Below are 26402 nucleotides of genomic sequence, written 5' to 3' on the forward strand. Positions count from 1 at the left end.
TCTTTTTGTTATTCCCCAGTGGCAAGTTATTTATTGCTTCGTTTGGCCACTCATCAAATAGTAGTTGGTAATCAGAAGATTTTACATGATATTCAGGATAATTTTTTGCTTTTTTCTAGTGTTTCTAGTTGAACTATGATGGATTAAGGTAACTGAGTAATTTTTCTCTTGACATCGATGCCCTTTAAGCTCTTTTGGGCTGTGATCCTGCTCTTGTAATTAGCTTTCATCCTGTTCATTAATCAGTGTTTCCATTCTGACAGTTTTTCCTTTTCTTTCTCCTCTTGTTTCTGAGATATTAAAAAGCGAAAGCAGTCTCTTACAAGGATCTATTGTTTGTTATCTTTTAGGCAAACCCAAGTATTTATCTCTCTCTTTTGCGTTCATACCAAAATTTATTGGAAATGCACGATAAATTTTCAGATTCTCAAAAATCTCAGGGTTTCTGCTTTCCAGGTTTTAGAAATTAGTTTATCTGATTTCAAGGCCTTAGATTTTCAAATTGCTCTTTTATATGCATCTATTCTATTCCGTTTTCTTTTCAGTTCTAAGCCTATGTTTATATGTAAAATGCTTCTCTTGTTTCTGACATTTTCCAATTTAGTATCAATTTCTAATAATGAACCACTGTTACCTGCTTGTCTTCCATGTGGATGCTTAATAAATACTATAACTTAGGTATACAGTTTCATGGAGGAGAATAGAAGAATGTGGTTAATTTTTTGAAATAGCAATAAAAAGAAAACATGTTGTGGCTTTAGCAAGCATTATTTTCTTGTGACAATTTTATCCTCCTAATTATACATTGCCTAAGCTGGTACTAACGTTAATTCATGTTCTCCTAAGCATATGCCCACTCTTGACAGATATACACTGGGGTTACAAATTTGGCGTGTATAATTTACACATAAATATTCAATTGCTAAGAAAACTGAGACTAAATCACATGCTGGTCATTATCATCTTTTAAATTACACTCTGACCTTTCATCCATCTACTTAGCAGTGTAATAACACAATTGTCTTAATATAAATAATTCATTTCTAGTGCTGCAACCCATTTTTAAATACTCAATTTTAATATTTATTATAGTTCTGATATTTATTATCTGACATGTTTGGCTAGATATTCTTTTTCTGAACAGTACTTAGTTTCATGTAATTTGATTTTATTTTTACTAGCTGGATAAACACACAGTTTTACACAGTAAAAATAAAATCAAATTACATGAAATTAAATTAATGTAATTAATTAATGTAATTAATGTAATGTAATTAATGCATCCAACAAAAATCAGTCTTGTATTAAGTAATTAAAGGTCCAAAAATCAGTTGGTTCCATTGACTTTGGGCAATGCAATGTCCACTCCAAATCTGTCGTTTGTTTCGCTCTGATATTTTAATAGTGTTGCACAGAGGATGCCTCATTGGTGGGATTAGCCTTCTTCACTGGTGTTTTATGGACAGTACAACTGGCTTCTCCCTTGAAAGCAAATAATTTTCTTTAATTAGGAGTATTTTTTAAAAATAGCTTATCAGCAAAGGTTTTTCTTCTGAGTGTGTGTTTTTTTAAGCTAAATCTTTTAGAAAGGCAGCAACCGTTAATCCTTCAGGGACATATATAAACACACAGGTGGATTCGCCCATGCGAGCATTTGTTTTTAACTAATGGATGGTTTTCTCAAAACAGTCTGTTCTTTTGCCTGTGTGCCAAAGTGGGTGAAATATTTGTTTGGGACTAGACCATAAAAACTAATCTTGAATGATGGCAGTAGGCTATAAAAGTTCATCACATAGAGAGTAGCAGAATGTAATGGAGAAAGCTATCAACTTGGAATCAGGAGGCTTGCCACTTACTAGTTGTGGAACGTGGATGTGCTCTGGGCCATCATTACCTAATTCATGTAGCAGAAGGTGGGTTAGATTGTCTCAAAGTCTCAGCTGTAGAGTTATGTGATTTTTTAGGTGCCTCTTGGGTTATTTAAGGCTAGCATTAAATGCTGACATTCATTTGTAATATTTTCCTTCTGGTGAGCTCAGGTACCCTGTTGTAAATGATAATGTTTATCTGAAATTGCTTACCTTCAATCAGCAGTCTTTAGTATTTCTTATTCAGCATACATTTGTTGACCAGATTTTATGTGTCCGGTACTGGTACAAAGCCTTAGAGTAACAAAGGTAAATAAGATGAATTTCCCACCCACGAGTAATTACATTGCTATACACTAAGTACCACAATGGAAGACCGAATGAAGTGCCATGGTAGTTCAGAGGAGAGATTAATTCTGCTTTGGGATGACCAGGTCAGCTTAGAAGGAAATGGCATTTGGATGGATCTGGAAAGATGTGTTTGCCAGATGGAAAACTGGGCTGAGGACGGCAACTGAAGGGCCTGACGGGTGGGTGCTGGGGCACGGGCAGAATGAGAGAGGTAGGAAGATGCGTGGTGTTTGAGTAGAACTTCAAGATAGAGTTTCTGTTTCCAAGGCTAAATAGTAGGCCATAAGTGGGGGTGGGATAGGGCATTTTGACTTGAGGAGAGTGGGGAAGAATGGCCTGGAAGTGAAATGAGGAATTAGGGCATTAATAGGTTGCCAACACTTCCGCTCGGCCATCTCCACATGTTGAAGAGTAATTCCGTTTTTTTTGTTTGTTTGTATTTTTAATCTGGTATATATTGTGATCTGCTTGCATTTCTACAAAATTTTCACAAGAACAGTTGGAATAATAATCTGTTTATTGAACATTTACTATGCATTAAGTCTTATTCTCAATGTCCAAGTCCAGTATCTAGTTAAGACATTTTACCATCTTTTTTTTTTCTGAAAAGTTGTTTCAACATAACATTTGTAGAACAAACTTTTTTTTTTAATTTGTTTTGTTTGGCTATAAGACAATAAATCATTAAGGATTAACATTTTTTGACAGCAACTCACAGAATTTTAATGATAGGCAATGTATTCTTCACATATAAAATATCATATTTAGCCTCAAAACCTCAAATCAAATTATTTCCATCTTTTGAAAGGATGAAATGGGATGTTGATGGCTTGGAAGCAGTCTTTTGTAAACTTTAAAGTTCTAGATTATTGTGAGTTAAGTATAAATATCAGGAAGAAGACATTATGTATTCAGTTTTGTGTCTGAGTCTCAGCCTAATCCCCCATAGTTATGGAGTAGGGTAAGAACTGTATGTCAATTTGGAATCAGACTCTCTGTTTTGAGCCATTTAATTTAGACACATTATTTTAATGTAAGCGCTTTTGCTTTTTCTTTGGCAGTCGGTGTGCAATTTTAATTAGCACTTGGAACCCAGTAGAATACATTGATGAGCACAAGACATGAAGAAATACGTTCATAATGGCCTGCCCGAGGTCTCTGGCAGCATCCAAGAAAGATGCTTTCAGTATAATGCTCAATGCTTCTGAGAAATCATCCTAGCTGATGATTTATACTCTTATACATTTAATCACTTTAGAGTTTCAAAATGTTGGCATTAGCAGCTTTGTCATCTATGCTACACTCAGAAGGAATATTAATTTCCTAAGCTTATTCTGATGCAGTAACTGATGTATAAGAAAACAACTTATTTTCTACATCTGCCCAGGACTCTCTTCCCAACTTTGCCAATCAAGCTCTTCCACCTCTTTTAAGCCCCAGCTCTAATATTCCACCTCACAGTCTTTTAACCTCCCATTCCCCCATGGCCATTCTTTTCAGTATACACCCATGGTTCATGCATCTACAACTGCACACCACACTGCGTTGTAACTGTTTTTTAATGCATTACTCCCCCTGTCAGCTCTCGATCCCATATTTGTAGGAACTGTGTCCCCATATCTGTATTTTGGTTGCATCCAGTTGAAAGACAGGGCATGGTAGAATAGAAATAACATGCACCTTATAAACTGATGCAGGTTAAATCCAAACTGCTCCTTACTTGCTGTGGGGACTGGGGCAAGTTACTTCTTTGAGCTTCTTTAAAACAACAATAGTAATACCTGCTATGCAGGATTGTTGTGAAGATTAAATAAGCTGCATTCATTAGTTCAACAAATATATGGAGACGTCCTATTACATGTCAGTAATTGCAAGTGTAACTGTACTTGCTATTAAGAATATAAAGGTGAATAAGTCATGACTTTATCCTAAGAACTTTATAATGTGGTAGTAGAGAAAGACTAGGAAATAGACAGTTGCAACATAATTCTTAAAGGATGAGTAAGGATTCACTAGCACAGGAGTTATCAGGTTTAGGTTGAAAGCAGCAGGATCTGAGGTAGAAGGAGAACTGTGTGCAATGCCTTTAAGCCAGGGAGAGGATGGGAAGTCTAAGGCACAGAGGGAGGTGTAATGTAGCTGTGATGTGATGGTGGGGTTAGGCTGCAAATACAAATATTACAAGGGGCCTTGCAAGCTAGGCACAGGGCAGAGGGAATGTGTGAAGAGTAGATGATTAGATTTGCACTTCAGGAAGATCTCTTTCCTTGCTGGCATGTGGAATAGTTTGGGGGAGTCAAGAGAATCACTATGACCAGTGAAGAGACTGTAGCCCAGAAGTGTTAATGGCCTTAACAGCAGGAGTTACAGTGGAAATGGGGTGGAGAGAATGCATTGAGAGATAATTAGGTGCCAGAAAAGGCAGCAAGTGATATGGTGTACAGGTGGGGGAAAAGTGCGTAAGGAAGAGAGAGGAGATTTCGGGGAAAATGTACAGAATTTTGACTTGAGGATGACGGTGCTATTCTCAGAGATAGGAAATGCAAGAGAAGCAGTTTAGGGTATAGGTAGGGAATGGAAAGTGAGTCCAGTGTGGAAATTGTGGAATTTGAAGTACCCAGAGGGAGCGCAGGACATTTTGACATCATTTTGAGCTCTTGTATGTTTTGACCCTGCTGTTTTTTTTGTTCTTGAATATAAACATTGCCGTCAAGATGATATCAACACTGATGAATTTTGTGGTAAAGATTTATTCCAGGGTTAACTTCGTTAAGCTAGTTTAATTTATTGACCTATTTCCTATATTGCAAATTTAATCTTTTCCAATTTGTTCCCTCCTGTATTGTTTTACTAGCACTGTTTCCATCAGGACAAAATCTTTCTTGTGTACATTTTACAATGAATACTTGATTTATCAACCTCTTTATCATCATCTTTTTCAAATTTTTACAGATACAACTTTTCCATGATAAATGTCGTTTTAGCTCTACTATTTTTACCATGTCAAATTTTGGACAACTACTCTTTTTGATTTTTCATTAATTTGTGAGCAATAATAACTTTTTACCATTTTCTGTTTTTGCTATTTTCAGTTGTATTTTACCTTTTTTTTTGTAACCAGCGAAATAGTTTCATGAGACAATTTTTTCAACTTTAAAAATTACCAATGATCTGTGATTCTCAAGTCAGCTTTTCATCTATAACAAATTTTGCTGTGTATCATTTTGGCCCTTGTCGGTTTCATTTTGGTCCTTAAAACCAAAACTGCCTCAGAATCTAAATGGCATTCTTCTGCCTATGGAAGAGCCAAGGATAGAAGTCCAGAACATAGGTACATGTATATAGGTATGGCGATTTGAAGAGAAGTCTAGGATGAAATGTAGATTTGTAAGCATTTGCATCTGGGTATGGGGGCAAGAGAGTGGATGACATCTCACCAGAGGGTGTATAGCGTAAGAGAAGAGCACCCCAAAAAACTAGGAGAAAGAATCCAGGAAGGAGCGGTAGAAGGTAGGGAGAAACTCACAAGACGGCATTCTTGTGGAAGTCAAGTCAAGAAAGAGGAAGTGGTCAACAATGTTGGATGCTGCAAAGAGGATGCATACTGAAATGTGTGGATTTTGCAACAATAACATCACCCTGTCGTCACTGAAGGCAACCTCATGAACGGAGAAAGATATGCAGCTGGGTATACAGAAGAGGAGCAAGAAGGAAGCGAAGATGTGGAGACAATTACAAGGACAACACTGGGCTGCAAGAAGAAAAATTTGCTTATTGATTGGCTGGTTTGTTTCCTTTTAGTACGGAGAGACTTAAGCATGGTTAGGTGCCGATGGGTTAGAGAGGAGAGGATGAATGTACAGGAGAGTTGGAACAGGATCCCCAAGAAGAAAATTAAGATCCCAGTCCTTTCCAGGGGTAGAATTTAGCATTGCTGCCTAAATCTCCATATCTAATGATTCCTCTGCAGCCGTGCCCAAGACAGAACCATCCTCAATCTGGCCCATCCATTTGGGCTTTTACTTTGGGTTCCCCATTAAACCCCTAATTCCTTCCTGGGCCCAGAACTTTCTCCAGAGCTGCTATCACTTGCTTTCATATCTCAGTCAAGGGGATCTTACTGCCCTTAACCCCACAGTACTATCACTTGCCATGACGCTTGAATATTACTGCTTTTGAGAAAGTCTTGCTACCACGTGTTGGCCACAACATCAGATAAGCTTTGATACTCTTGCTCTCCAGCTGTGAGCTGGGTCTTACCTCATCTACTAGATCTACCACTCACAGGTCAGATGAAACAAAACACTGTGTTGTGACCCTGACCATTCTCTGTTCCTCCCATTTGTCCTGAGACTGAACAAATTACAGCAAAACTTGGGTTGCCTTATGAATAATGGGGCGGTGGCCAATGCACACATCCTTATCTTCATCCACGGAGGGCTCATCTAACCACCCCTGGTGTCTTCACTGCAGGTTTATTGGGCACTTCCTAGCACCAGGCACTGCAATAAGAAATGGAGGTTAAACCATGAAGAAACATGGCTCTAGCCCTTAGGGAGCTCCCGGTCCTGCAGGTAAGTTAATCCTTGTTGCGATACTGTGTACTAGATGGGCAAAGTGAAGAACCAGTTTAGCCTAGGTAAGGAGAAACTGGTAGATTACCCTAATTTTTTTTTTGGTAGAATCTAAACAATCTCATGAGTTCAGTTGAACATGTGAAATACACTCTTCTTTTCCTCACATAATTGTTTCCCCTGCCAGTCTACACAGCTCGCAAGGGTAAGTCTGTTTTATGAGTTGGATAGGTTCCGGGACTGCGATTTATCTTAAAGAAAACTCATTTGCTTATGTAGCAGCCAAGATCAGCTACTAAATTTCCAGGACATTGAAAAAAGTGCATTCTCTTCAAATCCCTTTATATTTTTACCTAGCATCCCCTTGCACCCTGACCCCGTTCTGAACTTTTTGTTTGTTTGTTGATTGGTTGGTTGGTTTTGCCTTCAGGACAAAGTGCAGGACAATTTTGTGTCTGTTCTTGAGTCAAGTATATTTGTTTGATCTCTGTGGAACTTAGTTCTGAGCATATGAATGAAATAAAGGTGAACTGAGAGGTCATAATCTGTATCTTTCTCTGAGAAGTTCTCTAAGGCTCTGCCTTTGCTTGTTTTGCTGTTTCTTGATTCCTTGGCTGTGCCGCTGTCTCTGGGTTCCAGCACTGACACCCCATGTGGGTAGGGTCCTGTGGAGGACAGCACGGGTCTGAGAGAGAGAAAGCCTGGGGAAAGCTGGAGATGCCCTGTTCTTGCTTTCCTGCACCAGGCCTCTATACCCCTTGAGGTCAAAGCATGTCTAATTACGTTGAGAACAAGTCAGAGATATTGGACATAAGTGTCTTCCTAAAAAATAAAATGTGCAGTAAATACTACATTAAAATTATCCGTAAACCACTTTAATATTAACTTTGAACTCTGCATTATGGCAGGCTGTTGGGAAAATAAAATGTTCCCCAGCACTCTCTTTCTCTCTCTGACTTCGTGTCTACCAGTTCCTGATCTTGTCCTTTGCAAGGAATGGGTGGGACTCCACAGGTTCCTGACTGCATAGCTTTTTCAAATCCAGTGGGTCTTTCTCTGTTTCCCTCCAAGTTCCCTTGCTTGGATCACAGATGTGTGCAAGGCTGCCTATGATGCCCTCTGCATCGAGTGTTGCAGCCACTTGCCCATTCCTGGCACAAGTCTCCCCTCCCTGCAGGAATAGTGCTCAGGACCCCAGTGGCTGCTTTCTTCTTCTTTCTCCCCCACTTCCCTAGGGCAGGAAGTGAGAGGAGCAGTGAATGTTAGACAGAGGGGCTTTCATTTTGTATCCTCCACATCTGCTCCCTGAGGTAGTGAACACAGGTGCCTACTTGGTTAGACAGGAGACAGAGGAGCATGGAGCGAAAGGATGAACACGTGTGGAGACAAAATTGCACAGCTTTGTATCTTAAAATAGTGCCCTGCCACACAAACAAAAGATCCCCTAAATTACTAGGACTGTTAGAAAAAATATACTTTTAACTTATTAAAAAAGCCAATATTAGCTAATGACAAAGATCTCTGGCAAGATTGAGAGAGAAGGCTTTTCAGACAGAGGCAGTGGTCTGGAGAAGCAGTGTCTTGTCTGTGCTGCTTCTCACTTCCTGTTCTATTGTCATGTTCTCTTGGCCACACTCTTCTTGACATTGTCTCCCCTTCTCTATCCAATCCTTGTCTTTTCCCTGCTACTGTTCTCCATTCCCATTTTACACTCATCCTCAGCAGGCCATCTAGAGGACTGAGTGGGCACTAAGGTCCATAAACCATGGTTAGGCCTTGGTTTGACTTCTCCCTGTAGATTTGCTTTTGTAAAATATGTCCTCTGAATGTCTACATGAGATGGGTTTATTCCTTTTTAAAATTTCACTTTTTGAATATATATAACACATAATTCCAAAGTCAACATTATTTAGTTATAGGCAACGTTGTATAGTTATACCCAGGTGATGTGGTTTGGCTCCATGTCCCCACCCAAATCTCATCTTGTAGCTCCCATAATTCCCACATGTTGTGGAAGGGACCCAGTGGGAGATAATTGAATCATGGGTATGGGTCTTTCCTATGCTGTTCTCATGATAGCGAGTGGATCTCACGAGATCTGATGGTTTTATAAAACGGGAATTTCTCTGCACAAGCTCTTTTTTTTGCCTGCCACCATCCACGTAAGATGTGACTTGCTCCTCTTTGCCTTCTGCCATGATTGTGAGGCCTCCCCAGCCATGTGGAACTGTGAGTCCAATTAAATCTCTTTCTTTTGTAAAGAGCCCAGTCTCGGGTATGTTTTTATCAGCAGCATGAAAACGGACGAATACGCCAGGATACTCTTACTTCAAGCCACGAGCCCTGTACCCTGTTGCCTCAGTTGGCTACAGGTAACTAATTTTTGTTTCTGGTTTATTCTTCCAGTATTTCTTTTTGCAAATATAAGCATATATATATATTATATATATATATATATATATATAGTCTTGATTACATTATATTATATATATGCTTTGATATAGTAACTTTGGTTAATATTAAGTATAAGCATATATATGCTTATATTAACATATATTAACTTGGATTAATATATATGCTTATATTTGCAAAAATATGTATGCTTATATTTGCAAAAGTATGTTTGCTTATATTTGCAAAAATATGTATGCTTATATTCACAAAAAGAAATACTGGAAGAATTGCATATGCATATATATAAAAGTGGTATACTACTTACCTTGATTTGCACCTTGATTTTTGCACTAACAATTTCTCTTGGAGATCACTCCATATTAGTACATGAGGCTTTTTCTTATTTTTCTTCTTCAAAGCTGAATATACAGCATTTTGGGGACATATCATAGTTTATAGATCCCCTATCAGTAGATATTTGGATTGTTTTCAATCTTCTACTATTATAAATAATGACACAATGAATAGTCTTTTGCATCTATCAATGATACAAGTTTACTGGCACTATGATTAAAATGCTTTTGTTATCAATACCTTTATTAGGCTTTACTAACATTGATTGCAAACACTCCTTGGTGGATATTGTATAAAAAATAGCATCTATAACTAATCAGTCAGAATGCTGGATTTGTGCCCATACAATATATGAAGAACCTGATATATTTTCACAGTTGCATCCAGCCAATAAAACAGCCTGGTACCAACCTAACGGGATGTGGACACATCTCCAAAGCCTAGCTAGTCTTACCCAACTATATTCCCTATTTATCCTCAAATGAAAGAAAATTCCCTGTCTGTATTTTTAGTAATCAGACTTATTCCTCTCTAGAATATATTACTCCTCCATTTTGTGTTGAAACTGTTCAGATTAGCCTTTCCCAATGTAACCACACAAAATCCTCCTCTGCATATACCCATTCTTAATTCTATAATCCAGATAGATTTTCCTGAACTAGGTATTTCCCAATTCTATATCCAACAGCAAACTCTTCTTTTTATCTAAATTCAATAATTGGAAGTCTGCTTACCCCCTACTTCTTAAGGAAACTGGAGGGAACAGAACTGAGAGCCTCAAATTTTAGCATTACCCATGAAAGGAATGGGACTCTATTTCCAACGCACCACAATTTTGTGCAAGAATTGCCTGCAAATTGAATGACCATTTTGGATTAAAGTGGCTCCGAGTGTTCAGAGACAAAAAACCCTCTCTGCAATGAAACCATTAATCTTGGCTCATTTGTCCATAAAATATCTTCTCATAAGAGAAATTCATGCAGTGCTAAGCTTCTCACTACATGCAATTTTGGGTTTCACTCATTCGTCAGAGCATTGATTCCTTCCGTTGATACGTCTGAATTAGGAAAGGCTATTATAAATGTTCCCAGGACTTTAGAAAAAAGCTTTAATGACACTGCCACTTTTGTCTTGGCTTTACAAATGAGGTCTCTCCAACCTTGCTTCATTAGTTTTGCAAAATAGAGAAGTTCTGTATACCCTAACCACTCACTAGGGTGGTGCATGTGCTGTTAGTGTTGAAAACTGTAGCTTCTATGTTAATAAATCACGAATTGTTGCCCCAAATCTAAAAGATCTTAAAAGAAGAGATACAGGTTTTTCATCACAGAGGTGATGCTACACCTACTGATTTGTTTAGTTGACTAAATCGTGGCTCCTGGGAATCTCTGCTCTGGGAGATTTTTCAGTCCTTGGCGATTATTCTCTTTAAAGTCGTTGTATTTACCTTCCTAGTGCATGGTGTCCTATCAGGGGTTTTAAATGCTTTCCAGCAGCTACTCACATATCAAATGATTGCCATCAGGATCAGATAACTTGAGGAGCTCAACCACCTGACCAGTGATGGCTACAGAGGTGCTGATAACAGTGACACCACCACCCTTCCTTCCAGTGCAACTATGGACGATGAGAATGTCTCTATGACTCTGTCCCAGTGTCTACGTCAACTCCCTCAATGGCGATAACCAAGACGAATGCTATACCGTTTAATTACACTGTCAGTTTGCTGAGAGGATAAAGAGGATAACCAAAAAGGGGCAGTTGTAAAAACAAACTAAAATGGAGACTAGACCTGAAAAATCCCTCAGCAGACAAAGTGAGTTAGGCCTTGAAAATAACCTTAACGTTTTTTAAATTGCAAACATAAGCAAAACTTAACTTGGGCCATTACATGTAAATGCTTATATCAGAGGAAAACAAAACTTAAGCTCAATCAATCAGAAGCAGCCAACTAACTTAGGTAACTAGAGACTTTCTAGTGGGACAAACCAAATAAGGAAATTAAATATTCACTCAAACATTTTATTTTTAATTTTAAGAGACAAGGTCTCACTCTGTTGCTCAGGATGGAATGCAGTGGCGTGAGCATAGCTCAATGCAGCCTCAACTTCCTGGGCTCAGGTGATCCTTCTGCCTGAGCTCCCAAGTAGCTAGGATTAAAGTCGTGTGTTACCATACCTGGCTAATTTTTAATTTTTTTGTAGAAAAGGTGGCTGAAAGGGGGACAAAATAGGGGTCTTGCTATGTTGTGCAGGCTAGTCTCAAACTTTTGGCCTTAAGCGTTCCCCTTGTCTCGACATCTTCAGGTGCTGAGCAAATATTTTCTTTATTTCTGCATTCACTCTATAAAAGCCAGTTCCTTGTGCCTCTTTATGGAGCTCCAAACCTCTTCTGGTTTGGTGCTTCCCAACTCATGAATTGTTGTTTGCTCAGATAAACTCTAAGATTTGTATTGTGCCTCAGTTTTTCTTTTAACACTTTCTTTTAACAAAAACAAGTAGGGGTGAGGGCAGAAGGACAGAAGAGAGAGACAGAGAGAGAGGTGAGGGTGGTGGGGGGAGAAGGAAGATGACTGATTTTTAAAAAGATAATCTTTTGAACACGAACTTTCCTTTTGTTTTTTGAGACAGGGTCTCACTCTGTCACCAAGGCTGGAGTGCAGTGGCATGATCATGGCTCACTGCAGCCTTGATCTCCCATGCTTAAGTGATCCTCCCACCTCAGCCACCTGAGTAGCTGGGAACACAGACACACATCATGTCAGGCTAGTTTTTTATGTTTTGTAGAGATGGATCTCCCTACATTGCCCAGGCTGGCCTTAAACTCCTGTGTTCAAGTGATCTTTCTGCCTTGGCCTCCCAAATGAGATTACAGGTGTGAGCCACTGCACCCTGGCCAAGAACATTTTTGAAAGAAGACCTGGATACTTTAGGGAATTGGCTGACATTCCAAAGTGTTCTCTATTCCCTGTGGCTTTTGTGCCTTGTGAGAGGACTCTGAGAACTCACCAAATCCATTCCACAGCTATTGAATTAATGGGAGAACCTGATCAGGTTGAATGTCTGGTTTTGTCTTGGGAGGTGGGGCTGAGTGTCTTACACTTAGGCAGGATAGATTCTCCAGAAATGCCTCTCCATCATAGTCTGTTAATTTTTACTGATTTCGTTAACAAGAGGTAAAGCTCTCATTTAATATCAGGCCCACCTGGGAAGAGAGAATTTGCTGACATTAATGTGTGAATGGCATCTATACTGGACACTGCCTTAAGAACAGACTCTGATTGCACAAAGGAGAGAGCATATGTGATGATACCAAGTTATGGAAGATGGGCGTATCAGTCAGGGTTCTTTAGAGGGACAGAACTAATAGGAGGTATATATAGGAGCTTGTTAAGTAGTAACTAACACGATCACAAAGGTCCCACAGTAGGCTGTCTACAAGCTGAGGAGCAAGGAGAGCCAGTCCGAGTCCCAACACTGAAGAACTTGGAGTTTGATGTTCAAGGGCAGGAAGCATCCAGCAGAAAAGAAAGATGTAGGCCAGGAGGTTAAGCCAGTCTAGCCTTTTCACATTTTTTTCCTGCTTTATATTCTAGCCATGCTGGCAGCTGATTAGATGGAGCCCACCCAGGTTAAGGGTGGGTCTGCCTTTCCCAGCACATTGACTCAAATGTTAATCTCCTTTGGCAACACCCTCACAGACACAACCAGGATCAATAATTTGCATCCTTCAATCCAATCAAGTTGACAATCAGTATTAACCATCACAGTGGGAGAGGATATCTTAAGATAAGGCTGGGAGTAAGACAAACATTTCAGACACTTACCGGAATGTCTCCCAATCTCTGCAAACATAGCATGCCTCAAACCTTGGTATTCTTTTCACCCTGAAGCTGCTGCTCTATCTCTTATTAATTCTAATTCCCTTCTCCTGGGTCACTGAAACTGGAAACCTCAGTTCTTTTTATTTATCTCTTTGCCTTACCTATATTCACCCTCAAAATGTCATTTGTCCTCTGTTTTCTATTTTAGTCATTACTGCCCTAGAATAGTCCCTCAGCATTAGGGGGGCAGAAAAGTAGCCAGATCCCCCTTGGTTTAATTAATTGCCCTGTACTTACTAGCTTTGACTCTCTGGGTAACTTACTTAACCTTCTGTGCCTCAGTTTCCTCATGTCATTTGAGATGCCAAAGAGTATTTGTCACATGCAGTCAGAGTGAGGATAAAATGTGTAAAATGCTAGGGATAGTGCCTGGCTACGTAATAAATATATAATAAGCACTAGGTATCATTTCAAAAGACTACTAACTGGTTTTGCTGCCTTCTCATCTCACCAATCTATTCCCCAGAGAGTGTGCAGATTGGCCTTAACAATACATGTGAACAAAGCACTTCCTGCTGGAACAATTTCCATGATCCTCTGGACCTTCTCAAGCGGCTTTCAGGCTGTCTTCCCAGCCTTATATACTGCCACACCCTAGCAGGTAGTCTGTGCTTGCCTGGTCCCACCACTGCCATCTGCATCCACATCTCTGTGCTGTCCAGACTCTTTGCCTGGGACTTTTTTCTTCTTTTCTACATGGCCATCTACTTATCCTCTCAGGCACAGATCAGACATTCTGCACTCAGTGGAAACTTTGCTGACCTTCCCTGCCTCATCACCAAGTGGTATTGGTTGTTTCTTTTTCTGTAGTCCTGTGGCAATTTGTATATCCCTCAAATTTAGCCCACCCACCAGAATGAACCATGTAGCAGCCCGAATGGACATTAACCTTATGGCATCCACACCTCGTAGGTGGGGAAGCTATGCCCTTCCTGCCCATCTCGGGTCTCACGGACTTCCTTGTGATCACATTGCCTATACCCTCCCTCATGGCATCACAATACCCTCCTGGCAGCTCTTAGCACAATCTCTAAAGGAATTGAGGGAAACATTTTTCAGTTTGTAGATAAGAGTAGGTGAGATAGAAAGTGAGAGGAATGAGTTTGGGGAAGCATGCCTCTATGAGTTGAATTATCTGATTGTATGCCATGTGTCTCTTCCAACAGCTTTCAGAGACCATTTGTTTGTTTGTTTGTTTGTTTGTTTGTTTTTTTGGTTTTTTTGAGATGGAGTCTCGCTCTGTCACCCAGGCTGGAGTACAGTGGCGTGATCTCAGCTCACTGCAACCTCTGCTTCCCGGGTTCAAGTGATTCTCCTGCCTCAGCCTCTTGAGTAGCCGGGACTACAGGCATGCACCATCACACCCAGCTAATTTTTGTATTTTTAGTAGAGACTGGGTTTCACCATATTGGCCAGGCTGGTCTTGAACTCCTGACCTCAGGTGATCCATCCTTCTCAGCCTCCCAAAGAGCTGGGATTACAGATGTGAGCCACTGCGCCAGGCCAGCTTTCAGAAACTTTTTAATACAAGTGTCAAACTCTAGAATGTTTCTACACCAGGGATTTGCTTTCTTATTTTTGTGCTCACTTCCCTCCCTGGGAGGCAGTCAAGAGAGAGTACAGAATAAAAGCCTCTGATACATGAAAATAGAGATGATGTTCTCCACTTGGGTTACAAAACCCTGTATAGAGGAGAGAGCTGTGGACTCTGCAGTTGTTCACTCTGATGCTCCTTCTTTTAGCAATGTAGCATGGATACTCACATCTAAATTGTTACTGTTCTATGTTGAGTTATTATTGTCTTTCAGGAAAAAGCTACTGAATCCAACTGTGTCAGGAAGCGTTCCCAGGAAGTAGAGCCTGAGGCAGGGGTTGTTGTAAAAGTGACTTATTGAGGGAGTGCTCTCAGGACAAGGGGAGTGAGAGAAGAACAGGGTGGGAAAGAAGCCCAAGTGTGGATGTTGTTTTGGCTGGGGATCAAATTAGCCTAGATCCCATGGAGAGCCCTCTGGAGCATGAATTGCATGACAGAGTTGGACTCCTCTTAGGGTAAGGAGTATGGTCTTTAAACCCTTATGTCGGTCAGTCATTGGCCCCAGTCTTCTCTGAAGGAGTTGAGGTGGAAGTGTGATCTGAATGAAGCAGCTCCTTTTTGGTTGAGACAAATCTCTGATGAACGGAGCACCAGTGGCATCTACCGTACCGACCATCTTGGAGCCAAGAAGTGGGGAAAGAAGACAGATTTGAGGATATGCCGACTGCTCAAAACACAATCTTACTGAGGTACCTTCGAGATGCTGACATGGGGATGGGACAAGTGTATGTGCATGTGGTATCTGGATGTGGGAGTCTGTGATGGGAGAAGGAAGCCACAGAATTTTCCAAGATATATGGTATGAGACCCAGGCCCTCTTGGTAGAATGTTTAAGGGATGATGACTTCAGAAGACATGAGGGCCTGACAAAAGTAAGCCTTGGACATTTGATTTTTGATAATCTAGAGTCTATTTAATAAGCCGTAGCCATACTATGTCTGTACCTTGGTCTAGAAATAATTCACTGTGATGATATTATGCTTTCTATTTAATTTAATTTGTTTATTTGGAATTTGTATTTTGGCTTTTAAAATTTAACCCATCTAAACAAGGTAATTCCAAAAGGGAAGTGGATGTGTCCAACCCTTTAATTGGGGAGCTACTGCCAGGAGTTCTGAATTGAGCTCTGTGTTGCCTGAGAGTAAAGCAAAAAGGGACTAAGCATTGGGTTATAAGGTTCTTCTTCTTCTTGTTATTATTTTTAAAGGTGCTGTAATGTGAAGAAGGACCCAAAGCCTTCTTTATCTCTCCCAATAATCTCAAACCAAATAGGTGGAACTCCTCGCATAAGTTGATTTACAAGTACCTCTCTAGATAGCTTTCAACAGTGATTCTTGGGCTCTTCCAGAGGTTCTAGAGCTGCTAATGTCTTTAAAGTAGTTTCTTGTCTGCTTCAACCTGGACTTTTGAGAGTGGATGACCTCAGAAATCTGAAGGAGTTGAAAACATACGTGGAAACATATGTGGGACTGACTTTTATATTTTTACATATTTAAAGATCTTTTTAAAGATCTTTAAATCTGTAGCTTGCTAGTTGATTGTATGACTGTAGGGCCTGTAGATATTTTTATTGCTGTTAGACGGTCCAGCATTTTGCTCCTAAAGTTTTGTTCCATCTGTTCTTCAATGGAAATTCCCATCTCTGCGGTCACCATTTTCTACATGCCTGAGTAAGATCTTCCAGAGGTAGGGTTGCACATGGTGAAAGGGCTTGAATGGGCCAAGTTTGAAGACTTTGTCCTCCAGAATGTCAATAGATCCTAAGAACTGTAGGTATTTGTGTGTGTGTATTTATGAATGAAGTCTATAGATGAAGGCATTGTTTCAACAGCCTGAAAATGGTCTCTGACACATCTGTATTTATTAGCCTCTTTCTTTCTTTCTTTTAGAAGTCTGGTGTAGAAGAAATAATAATCAGTTAATTGAGAGGGTTCATTCATTTGAGTTCTGGTTAAAGTCACAGAAGGCTCTGATCTTAGTCCTATTGACCTCTATAAAACAGCAATAATATTATTAAAGGATGTTGTCAGAAAATTAATTTTCTAAGCTGAGATATAAAGCTTTAAGATATATGTATGTGTTTATAGAGAGTTGAATTTTATACACATCTAATTATATGTGTGTAACAGTGTACCTGGCGTGGTGGAATTTTTTATTTAGAGGTGAACATAGAAAGTCATGTTGGAACAGCATCCTTTAGGTGAAGAATTGGGGCATATTTTGACTTTGGAAAATGGTATACAATTAACTGTAAAAAAAAAAAAAAGTCCTGTGTCTTAGCAAAGGCTTCTCCTCAGTTTGCAGAGGTTTGGGGAGGGAGTGGATGTATTTGAATAAGGATCCTAAAACCCTTCTGAAAGAGAAGGAAGGGAGGCACCAATTCCTACTACCAAATGTTAAAATTAGGAAACCCTGCCACAGTGGATTGTGATGGTCTTGACCAAGGTGCATGAGAGAAGAGGACAGTAAGGTCCCAAAGGCCAACTCACCACAAGGGGAAGTAGAGTCTGGCAGTGATCTGAACTCCACACAACAGCATTAACTCCAGGTTAAAGAGCTCAGTCTGGTGCACTATGAGTCTGAGTGCAGAAGATTTACAGGTAGGAGTCAGGAAACTATCAAGTTTACATGTTGCAATAAGGAGGTTAGACATTCCATGATGCTTTCAGAGCCATTGATGGGTTTTAAGCAAGGCAGTGGCTTGGTTTTTGTATGAGAGAGCTCATTTTAGTGACCAATATGGAGGATATTTTTAAGAGAAACAAGAATAGAGGCTGGGAAGCTATTGCCATGATCCACGAAAGAGGAAAAGACAGCTTGAATGAGTCAGTGGTGAAGGAAAAGATTCAAGAAGTAGGAGGTAAAGTGATCATAGCTTGGTAATTGATTGGCTCAGGGGGAGCAGTCATTAATTTGTTTGCTATTTGTGCTGTTTATTATTATTACAAATGGCAGGGATTAGAATAAGTGGCCAATTATTCTCTTCCTGTCTACTTGTTTTTAGCTGCTGGTCTCTAAAATGAAAATTATGAAGATGGAACTTTGATTAGCTTCTCCTACTTTCATAATGACTGTGGTTATCATTCCCAGTTTATTGAGTGAAGTCATTGTTTAAATTTGCATAAGTGGCTTTTGGATATGCAAAGGTCCAATTACATTAAAAGCTAGATATCAATTGATATAGAAGAACAATTATCTAGATATGTCCATGACATTAAAAAGAACAAAGACTGACTGGAGAATTTGCCAACATTTCCATTGAGTTAATTCTGGCTGCCAAAGAACTATGGGAGGAGAACATGAAGAAAAGAAGAAGAAATATAGACAATCTTAGCCAAATGGTACCTCTGCAGATTAGAAGAATGGAGGGCATGCAAAAAAAAAATTAAATTTGAAAAGCAAAACATTTTTTGTTGTAAAACAACAATAATCACAACAACCTAAAACAATAAGCTTATTTATATGGTAAAAATAAAAAGGCATCCCCCACCACAACCTCCTACTGTCTAAAACCCCTGGGACAACTTCTGTTAACAGACAGGTGGGGATTCTTCCAGTCAGAAATGTCCTTAAAGAGATTCCATTCATTATACAGAATCTATCATGACACATGTTTCACCAAGGTAACCTTTGATCTGTTTTCTTATCTGTTAAAGTCTACTTGGTGATTCAGTTCATAGCTTGCTAGTTGGCTGAATGCTAGAATTGTTGCTGGCAAGGAATGCTGTTACAGGGGGCCAGTAGACAGTGGAAGTAAGAGAGACAGGACAAAATGCCAGGAGAAAAAGGTCAAGTCAAGGTGGAGTACAAAAGGCAAATGCCAGGCAGGAAAATGGGACGGGCTTGGAAAAGAATGCTTAGTAAAGTCCACCTTCCTTGTTTTCACTTTTTGTAACCTAATTACTCCAACATCTTTGCTGCTGACTTTTACCCCTGCTTTCTCCTAAATTACTCTCCCAAAGGTCACCAAAGGACCACGTGGTCATCACATTTGATGACCTTCTCTCCATTTTTACCCTCCTTAACCTCTCTGTGTTTGATATTGTCAACCACTGTCCCTTTCATGAGTCCCTGTTTCCATGGCGATGGTGACATTGTACTCTTCCAGCTCTTAAATCCTCCTGACTGTTCTTTCCCTGAGCTCCATAATGACTCCCCTTCCACTTCTCTAGTCTTCTTTTTTTTTTTTTTTTGTTTTGAGACGGAGTCTCACACTCTCACCCAGGCTGGAGTGCAGTGGCGCATTCTTGGCTCACTGCAAGCTCCGCCTCCTGGGTTCACGCCATTCTCCTGCCTCAGCTTCCCAAGTAGCTGGGACTACAGGCACCCGCCACCACACCTGGCTAATTTTTTGTATTTTTAGTAGAGACGGGGTTTCACCGTGTTAGCCAGGATGGTCTCGATCTCCTGACCTTGTGATCCGCCCGCCTCAGCCTCCCAAAGTGCTGGGATTACAGGCGTGAGGCACCGCGCCCGGCCTTCTCCAGTCTTCTAATTGTGGGGTCTGCCTACAGAACTGTTCTTTTCTTACTTCTCTTTTTTCTGCATTTTCTATTTCTTGGATATTTAATTCACTCCTATGGCTTCAATGATGATTTCTATGACAGAGGTTTTGAAATATGACAGATACAGACATAACTAGAAATATAAATCTGACCCTGACCTCCCCTGGAGTTCTAATCTCCCATTTTCTGTTACCTGCTAGGCAAGTCCCATTTGTATTTTATTTTATTTTTATAGAAAGAAATGAGATAATCATATGTATTGTAAAAATGTGAATCCATACACATATGTACTGTATATATATATGAATGCATATACATATGTAATACATATACATGTATATTGTGCATATACACACAAACACATCTTAATGAGACCAATGTCAGGTCTCTACCCCCGAACAATTATGTTGGAATATGTAGGATGGGGCTGCAGCACTTGTGCCTATTAAAAGCTCCCAGAGTGATTGGAAAAGAACAATTATTTCCATAGGTTTTGGGGAACAGGTGGTGCTTGGTTACATGAGTAAGATCTTTAGTTGTGATTTGTAAGATTTTGGTGCATCTACCACCTGAGCAGCATGCATTTGTATTTTAAACTTAGCATTTCTAAAACAAAACTTGTCTTCTTCACCTTCAGACTCCCCAGTATGGGCTAAAGAGACCTTTCTGGCCTATCCCCTGCTCACCTTTCCTGTTTCATCTCTTACCACTCTTCTACAAGCACTCTTTTTTCCAGTCATGTCAAATAACTGCAGTTTCACGAACATGTCACGTTTCAAATGCCTCTATGCTATTGAAAACTACGTTCTGTCCCCCGAAACATCCTTCTCCTTGGGCCTGAATTTTTTGTCCCAAAACATTCCTTCCTCAACCCTCCAAATTTTTCTTGTGTATCATTTTCCTTAGGAAGGCTTCCTGCATCTGATGCCCTTCTGCTGTCTCTTATAGCACCCCTTGGAAACTTCTGTTATAGATCGTATCATACTAAAGTGTAGCTGGTTGCTTACTTGTTTGTATTCCCAGGTGAACTGTGAGCCCTTGGAAGTGAAGAAGTATGTCTTTGATGTCTGTACACCCAGGCCCTAAAAAAGTGCTTAACACATAGTAAGTGGATTCACACACTTTTTCTGTGCTTAATACATACTGAATGTGAATACATACGGTATGTGAATCTGCTTCTCTCTCCTGGTTTCTCTATTTTTGATGGTGGTAAAGCCATCTCAAATTTATATCTCTAACCCTGACATTCCTCCTAACTCCATGATCACATCCTTCCTTCAAAACATCTCCACTTGAATGTCCAAGAGGTTTATTAAATCTAACAGGGGCTAAGCAAAGCCCCTGCTGTCTTTGCCCACCATACTGCATCTTGGTAAGGGCACCACCATTTACCCAGCTGTTCTAAGTACAAACTCTGGAATCATCCTTTTTCTTCTACTCTACATCAAATCTGATAAAAAAAAAATCCTACAAGCGTTGCCTGATCATAGATCTGGAATCTGGCCATTTTTCATCTCCTCCAGCAGTGCTACATCAGTTCAAGCCACCATTGTCCCTTCCCTGGGCTCCCATGGTGCCTTCTTACTGGTATCTGTTTACTCTTGCTCTCTATAAATGATTCCTCCAAACAAAAGCCAGAGGTACTTACCTTGGCTTACAAGACCATTGAGGATTAGGCCTTTGGCTATCTTTCTGGGCTCATGACCTATCACCTCCTCCTTGTTGACTCTGCTGCCTACACAGGCCCCCTTGTTACTTTCTGAACACACCAGATGGACACTCATTTCAGGGCTTTTTTCATGCTACTCTCTCTGCCCCAGATACTTCTCTCCTAGAACTTCACATGGCTCACTGCCTGGCTTTCTTCTGGTCTCTGCCCAATAGTCACTTCTGGAAAGAGGCCTTCTCTGACCATAATATCTAAAAAAGCACCCCCACAGACTCTATCCTCTTACCCTGATTTGTTTTTTCCTTTGCCATATGATGTTTTATATTTCTTTATATATCTATTGATACTCTCTTTCATTAGTACATTGGCTCCCTGAGAATAGGGTCTTCGTCTACCATGTTCTTTGCTGCAATCCTAGCATCTGGCACTTTTCCTGGCATATAGCAAAAGCTCAACAAATACTTGATGAATGAATAATTCCAGTTATTCAAGACTGTGAGTCATATTTGACTCCTCACTTGCATTCCCTCCTGTGTGCAGTCACCGAGCCCTTTAGAGTCTTATGTTTATTCATTTCACATTTATTGACTGTAAACTGTCTTATGGTCTGTTTTTCTTTGAGCTAACTTACTTTCCACAAGTGCCATATCAAATGAAGTAATTAATGCAACAAGAACTTTGTAAACTCTAAAGCACTATACAAATGTCATTTTCCTTCCAGTCCCACTGCGATGACATGAATTAATGTTACTTCCTCTTCCAATCTATACAGGAGCCTCTAACTGAACTATCTCCTTCCCAAATTCTCCTTAGATTATATATTTTGCACCCTGCTGCCCACTTAGTCTTCTTAAAGCCTTGCTATAATTATGCACCTCTCCTACTCAAAAACTTTGACTGCCTTCCAGTTCTTGACCAAATAGTATACAAAGTCCTTGACTTGTAACCAAGACCTTCCCTGATGTGGCTTCAGATTGCCCTTTCACTGTTTCTCACTCTTCTCCCACCCAAACCCTGGATTTTCAAGTAAGTTTAGCCCACTAACCTTTCCCTGAGCCCAACTGCCTTCCCCCACTTGTCTTTCACTCATGCTTCCCCTCTGAATGGAAAGCTTCCTGCATACCTTCTCCTTAAAAAAAAAACAAGCAAAAAAAATCACACCTTGCAGGCTCAGAACAAGTGAGCATCCATGGATTCTGCCATTCGTGGGTTTTTCTACTTCAAGGTGTTCTTTCTCTACTCTCTATTCTTATAGCATTTCATTCTTCCTGTTGAGGGGTACCCTTATCCTCCAACCTTCCCTTCTCTGGAACAGAAAGGAAGGAAATAGATGCAAGGATTACTTTTAGCATCTGCTTCCATTTTCATTATTCTGATTTAGAAGGCAAGGAAAGTCTTATCTGTTCTTGTCCAAGCTTCTCAGATTATTTGTCCCTCCTTTCTGTCTCTGAGATCTGCCTGCCGCAGTAAGCATGCTTTCATGACTCCCACCTCCATGTGGGAGGGTTTCAAGGACAGGCTTTCATCTTGACAAATATGGCAGCCTGCCTTTCTGAGCTGGTAGTAGAGGGAAGTAGTGGGAAACCTACGAGGTTTTTTGTTGTTGTTGTTGTTGTTGTTGTTTGAGATGGAGTTTCACTCTTGTTGCTCAGGCTGGAATGCAGTGGCACGATCTTGGCTCACTGCAACCACTGCCTCCTGGGTTCAAGCAATTCTCCTGCCTCAGCGTCCTGAGTAGCTGGGATTACAGGTATACACTACCATACCCAGCTAATTTTTTTTTTTTTTTTTTTTTAGAGACAGGGTTTTACCATGTTGGCCAGGCTGGTCTCGAACTCCTGACCTCAGGTGATCCATCCGCCTAGGCCTCCCAAAGTGCTGAGATTACGGGCATGAGCCACCGCACCTGGCCAAGCCTACGTTTTACTACAGGATAAGCTGCCTTCTCCATTCTAGCCATTCTATATTATACGGCCAATGATTTGGCTTCTCTGAATCTGACTCCATTTCTTAATTGGTTTTGAACTCTGGAGAAAAGCATCGATTAATTATCACCTTCCCTTAGACTCAAACATCACCCGGATGACTTTTTTGGCAAACTTCTGTATAATACAGATTTTTGTAAGGCCTTACTCATATTTGTAACCCAATACATAAGCATATAGAAAGGAGAGGCAGTATTATATACCATCATTTGTCTTAAATCTCTTTCGACTTCAGATTCATGTGACAGTATTTATTTGCATGGAGGCTATATGGGCTAATACATTTGATACTGAGAAAAAAATTAAAAATAAAATATATATGGTGGGAAATAGGATGTGTATTAGTCGGTTCTCACAGTGCTACAAAGAACGACCTGAGACTGGGTAACTTATGAAGAAAAGAGGTTTAATTGACTCACAGGTCCACAGGCTGTACAGGAGGCATGGCTGGGAGACCTTAGGAAACTTAAAATCATGGCAGAAGGTGAAGGGGAAGCAAGCATTCCTTACCATGGTGGAACAGGAGAGAGAGAGAACAAAGGAGAAAGTGCTACACACTTTCAAACAACCAGATCTCATGAGAACTCTATTATGAGAAGAGTAAGAGGGAAGTCTGTCCTGTAATTCAGTCACCTCCTACGAGGCCCCTCCTCCAACACTGGGAGTTACAATTTAACATGAGATTTGGGTGGGGACACAGAGCCAAACCACATCAAGATGTTTCTTGTTTCTTGGAATTGTGGCTGAAGCTCAAAGCTGATTATAATGTACAAGTTCTCTACATTATAAATAGTGACATTGGACACATTTTTAGGACTTACTGAGAAATTACAATACAGAACCTGTGGCTATCAACTCCGTCAACCCCCTTCAACTATGTAAGAGAGGGCTTGAGAAGGTGCCTTAAAGGGGATTTATAGGTGTACCAGCGTTTTGACATTTCTTGACTCCTCACTCTGTGGGATGAAAAGAGGGTTTGTCTTTTTTTTTTTTTTTTTTAGGTTTTCACTATTTATTTATGACAAATATTCCACATCCGTGATTCTCTCTAGTCAAAACTTCTTTGAGACGATGCTGTCGGCCTTGGCCAATCGGAGAATCGAATCATCTGACTCACCCATCCTATCGCCCCGCAGATAGCATAAGTTTTAAACTGGCCATTAAACCTGCCCGTGACCTTGTCAGCCTCGGCCACGTTCATCTGGATGGATGCGTGGTCCTTGGCACCGATGATGCGGTTGCTAGCGGAGCATTTCCGCGGAACTTACAGGTCCACGAACTCGCCGGCGTTGTTCTGCATTTCGAGGCTCCGCCTGCTGCCACCACACCGCGCACGCGAGAGAAAGCCGAGGGTTTGTCCTCTTATGCCAAGTTAGGGCAGCCCTCAAAGCAGATCTCGAAGGGAAGACGTCTACCGAGAGCGGATTTTGATGTATCACTCCATGAGACTGGTGCCTTTCTCTAGCCTGGAGAATTCCAAGGGTGCAAAGCTGGCTGAAGCTATTTGAGACGGCTGGTGAGGATTTGGGCCAGCAGAGGGGTAAGCGTTCAGGACTCGCAGAGTTTGAATGAGCAAGCATGTCTGAGTGGACCCCATGGAAAGCATTCAGGCTTTAGTTGTCTTAAAACGGCCATACCCAGAGCAAGTGTAAAGGCAGTTGTGGAAAATAATATAAACCAGTTACAATAGCATTCTTGGAGTGCTTACCCAGGTACTAGGGATTATTTTATTAATCCTCACAACCACCCTAAAAAAGCATTACTTTCATTCCCATTTTTCAGATGAGAAAACGGAGGAGTGAGGTCGTTATTTTCTCAAGATCATAGAATTAGCATGGTTCATAACTGGTATTTAAATAGCAGATCCTTGTATGTATTAGCTTGGTGTTGATCCCATCTATCTGTGGTTGGTTCCCAGATTTACTACCTCCAGCTTTGGTTTCATTCCCTCCTGAACTCAAGACCTGTATATCCAACTGCTTACTTGATATTTCCATTTGGGTATGTCATAGCCAGTGGAAAACACTGGGTAATTTATGAGGATAAGAGGTTTAGTTGACCCACAGGTCCACAGGCTGTACAGGAAGCATGGCTGGGAGACCTCAGGAAACTTAAAATCATGGCAGAAGGTGAAGGGGAAGCACTTGCTCTCCTCTCTGCCTAGAGGGCTAGAGGAAAGTTCCTGATTGCAACTTACCGCTACCTTGCTCTTCCCTATCTTGGTTGCTTGAGTCACGTCTCCTTTCCCTTACCTTCTCCCTTTGTCTGACATACCCAGTTGCTGTAGAACTTGAATCCATTGACTTCTCTCCATTTCCACTGTCATTTTATGAGTGCAACCCACATCACCCCACTGCTTTTATTCTTCCCTCTCAGCCCACTCTCCACAGTAGAGAGAGAATTATTTTCATCTCCCTTTACTGGCTTGTCATTTATCTGGGAATAAAATCCAAACTGCACCACGGAGCCTTGGAAGGCCTGGCTGCTCCTCCCCTCGCAGTTCTCCATGGCTCACTGGACTTTAGCAGCTCTGGCCTCCCTTCTGTTCCCTAGGAACCTTGGCCTTTGCACTTGTTCTCCTCTCTGCCTAGAGGGCTCTTTTTCTCATCTCTTTGCATAGCTGGGTCATCCTCATCCTTTAGGTCTCAACTGAAAGGTCACCTTCTCACTGCTACTCCCAGCTACTCATTCTCTTTCCCATGTTTATCTTTGTCATAGTCCTTCAAACAATTGGTAATTAATTTGCTTATTTTAAAAAACTTGTTTGTTAGATGTGTTTATCCTGTTTCCTCCTCCCAACTATGATCTAAGCTCTCTGAGAAGGGGCCTCACTTACCTTCATGTTCATCACTGTAGTGCCACAATCTAGCAAATTGCCTGGCATATGGAGGTGCTCAGCAAATACCTGTTAAATAAATGAATGAATTTTTTTGTAAGTGTTTGTTGTATAAAAGAATGAAGAGAGAACCAAGTGCCAGATGTCATACACCATATATAGTGGATTTTTAACCTGGTTGGAGTGGGCAGAATGTTGTGGGAGCTAAAACATACAGTTATCATACTTATGACAATCGTATCTCTTATAGACATTTAAAAAGCACCACCCATACTTATTCCAGCATTCAAAAAATATTTATTATTTTCTTATGTTCTAGGCACTAGGTTGGTGGCTGGAGATGCGGTGAAATAGACATAGTCCCTCTCCTCAAAGCTTATGGTCTAGCA

General features: G+C 40.5%; 1 long non-coding RNA gene and 1 pseudogene across 2 annotated transcripts in view; one reads left to right on the forward strand and one right to left on the reverse strand.

Moving 5' to 3' along the window:
- The window catches only part of TAPT1-AS1 (TAPT1 antisense RNA 1), a 31525-nt gene extending 5416 nt beyond the window's left edge, over positions 1-26109 (forward strand). Inside the window, exons 2-3 of one of the 2 annotated variants that reach the window (NR_027696.1) lie at positions 6693-6793; positions 24179-26109. This is a non-coding gene — a long non-coding RNA (TAPT1 antisense RNA 1). The remainder of the gene's footprint in view (positions 1-6692; positions 6794-24178) is intronic. The other variant, NR_027697.1, reaches the window with a different exon arrangement.
- RPS21P4 (ribosomal protein S21 pseudogene 4) lies at positions 24176-24523 on the reverse strand (annotated as a pseudogene).
- Positions 26110-26402: the final 293 nt, after the last annotated feature.

This window comes from Homo sapiens, chromosome 4 (genome assembly GCF_000001405.40).
Source record: "Homo sapiens chromosome 4, GRCh38.p14 Primary Assembly".
Classification (NCBI taxonomy): Eukaryota; Metazoa; Chordata; class Mammalia; order Primates; family Hominidae; genus Homo; species Homo sapiens.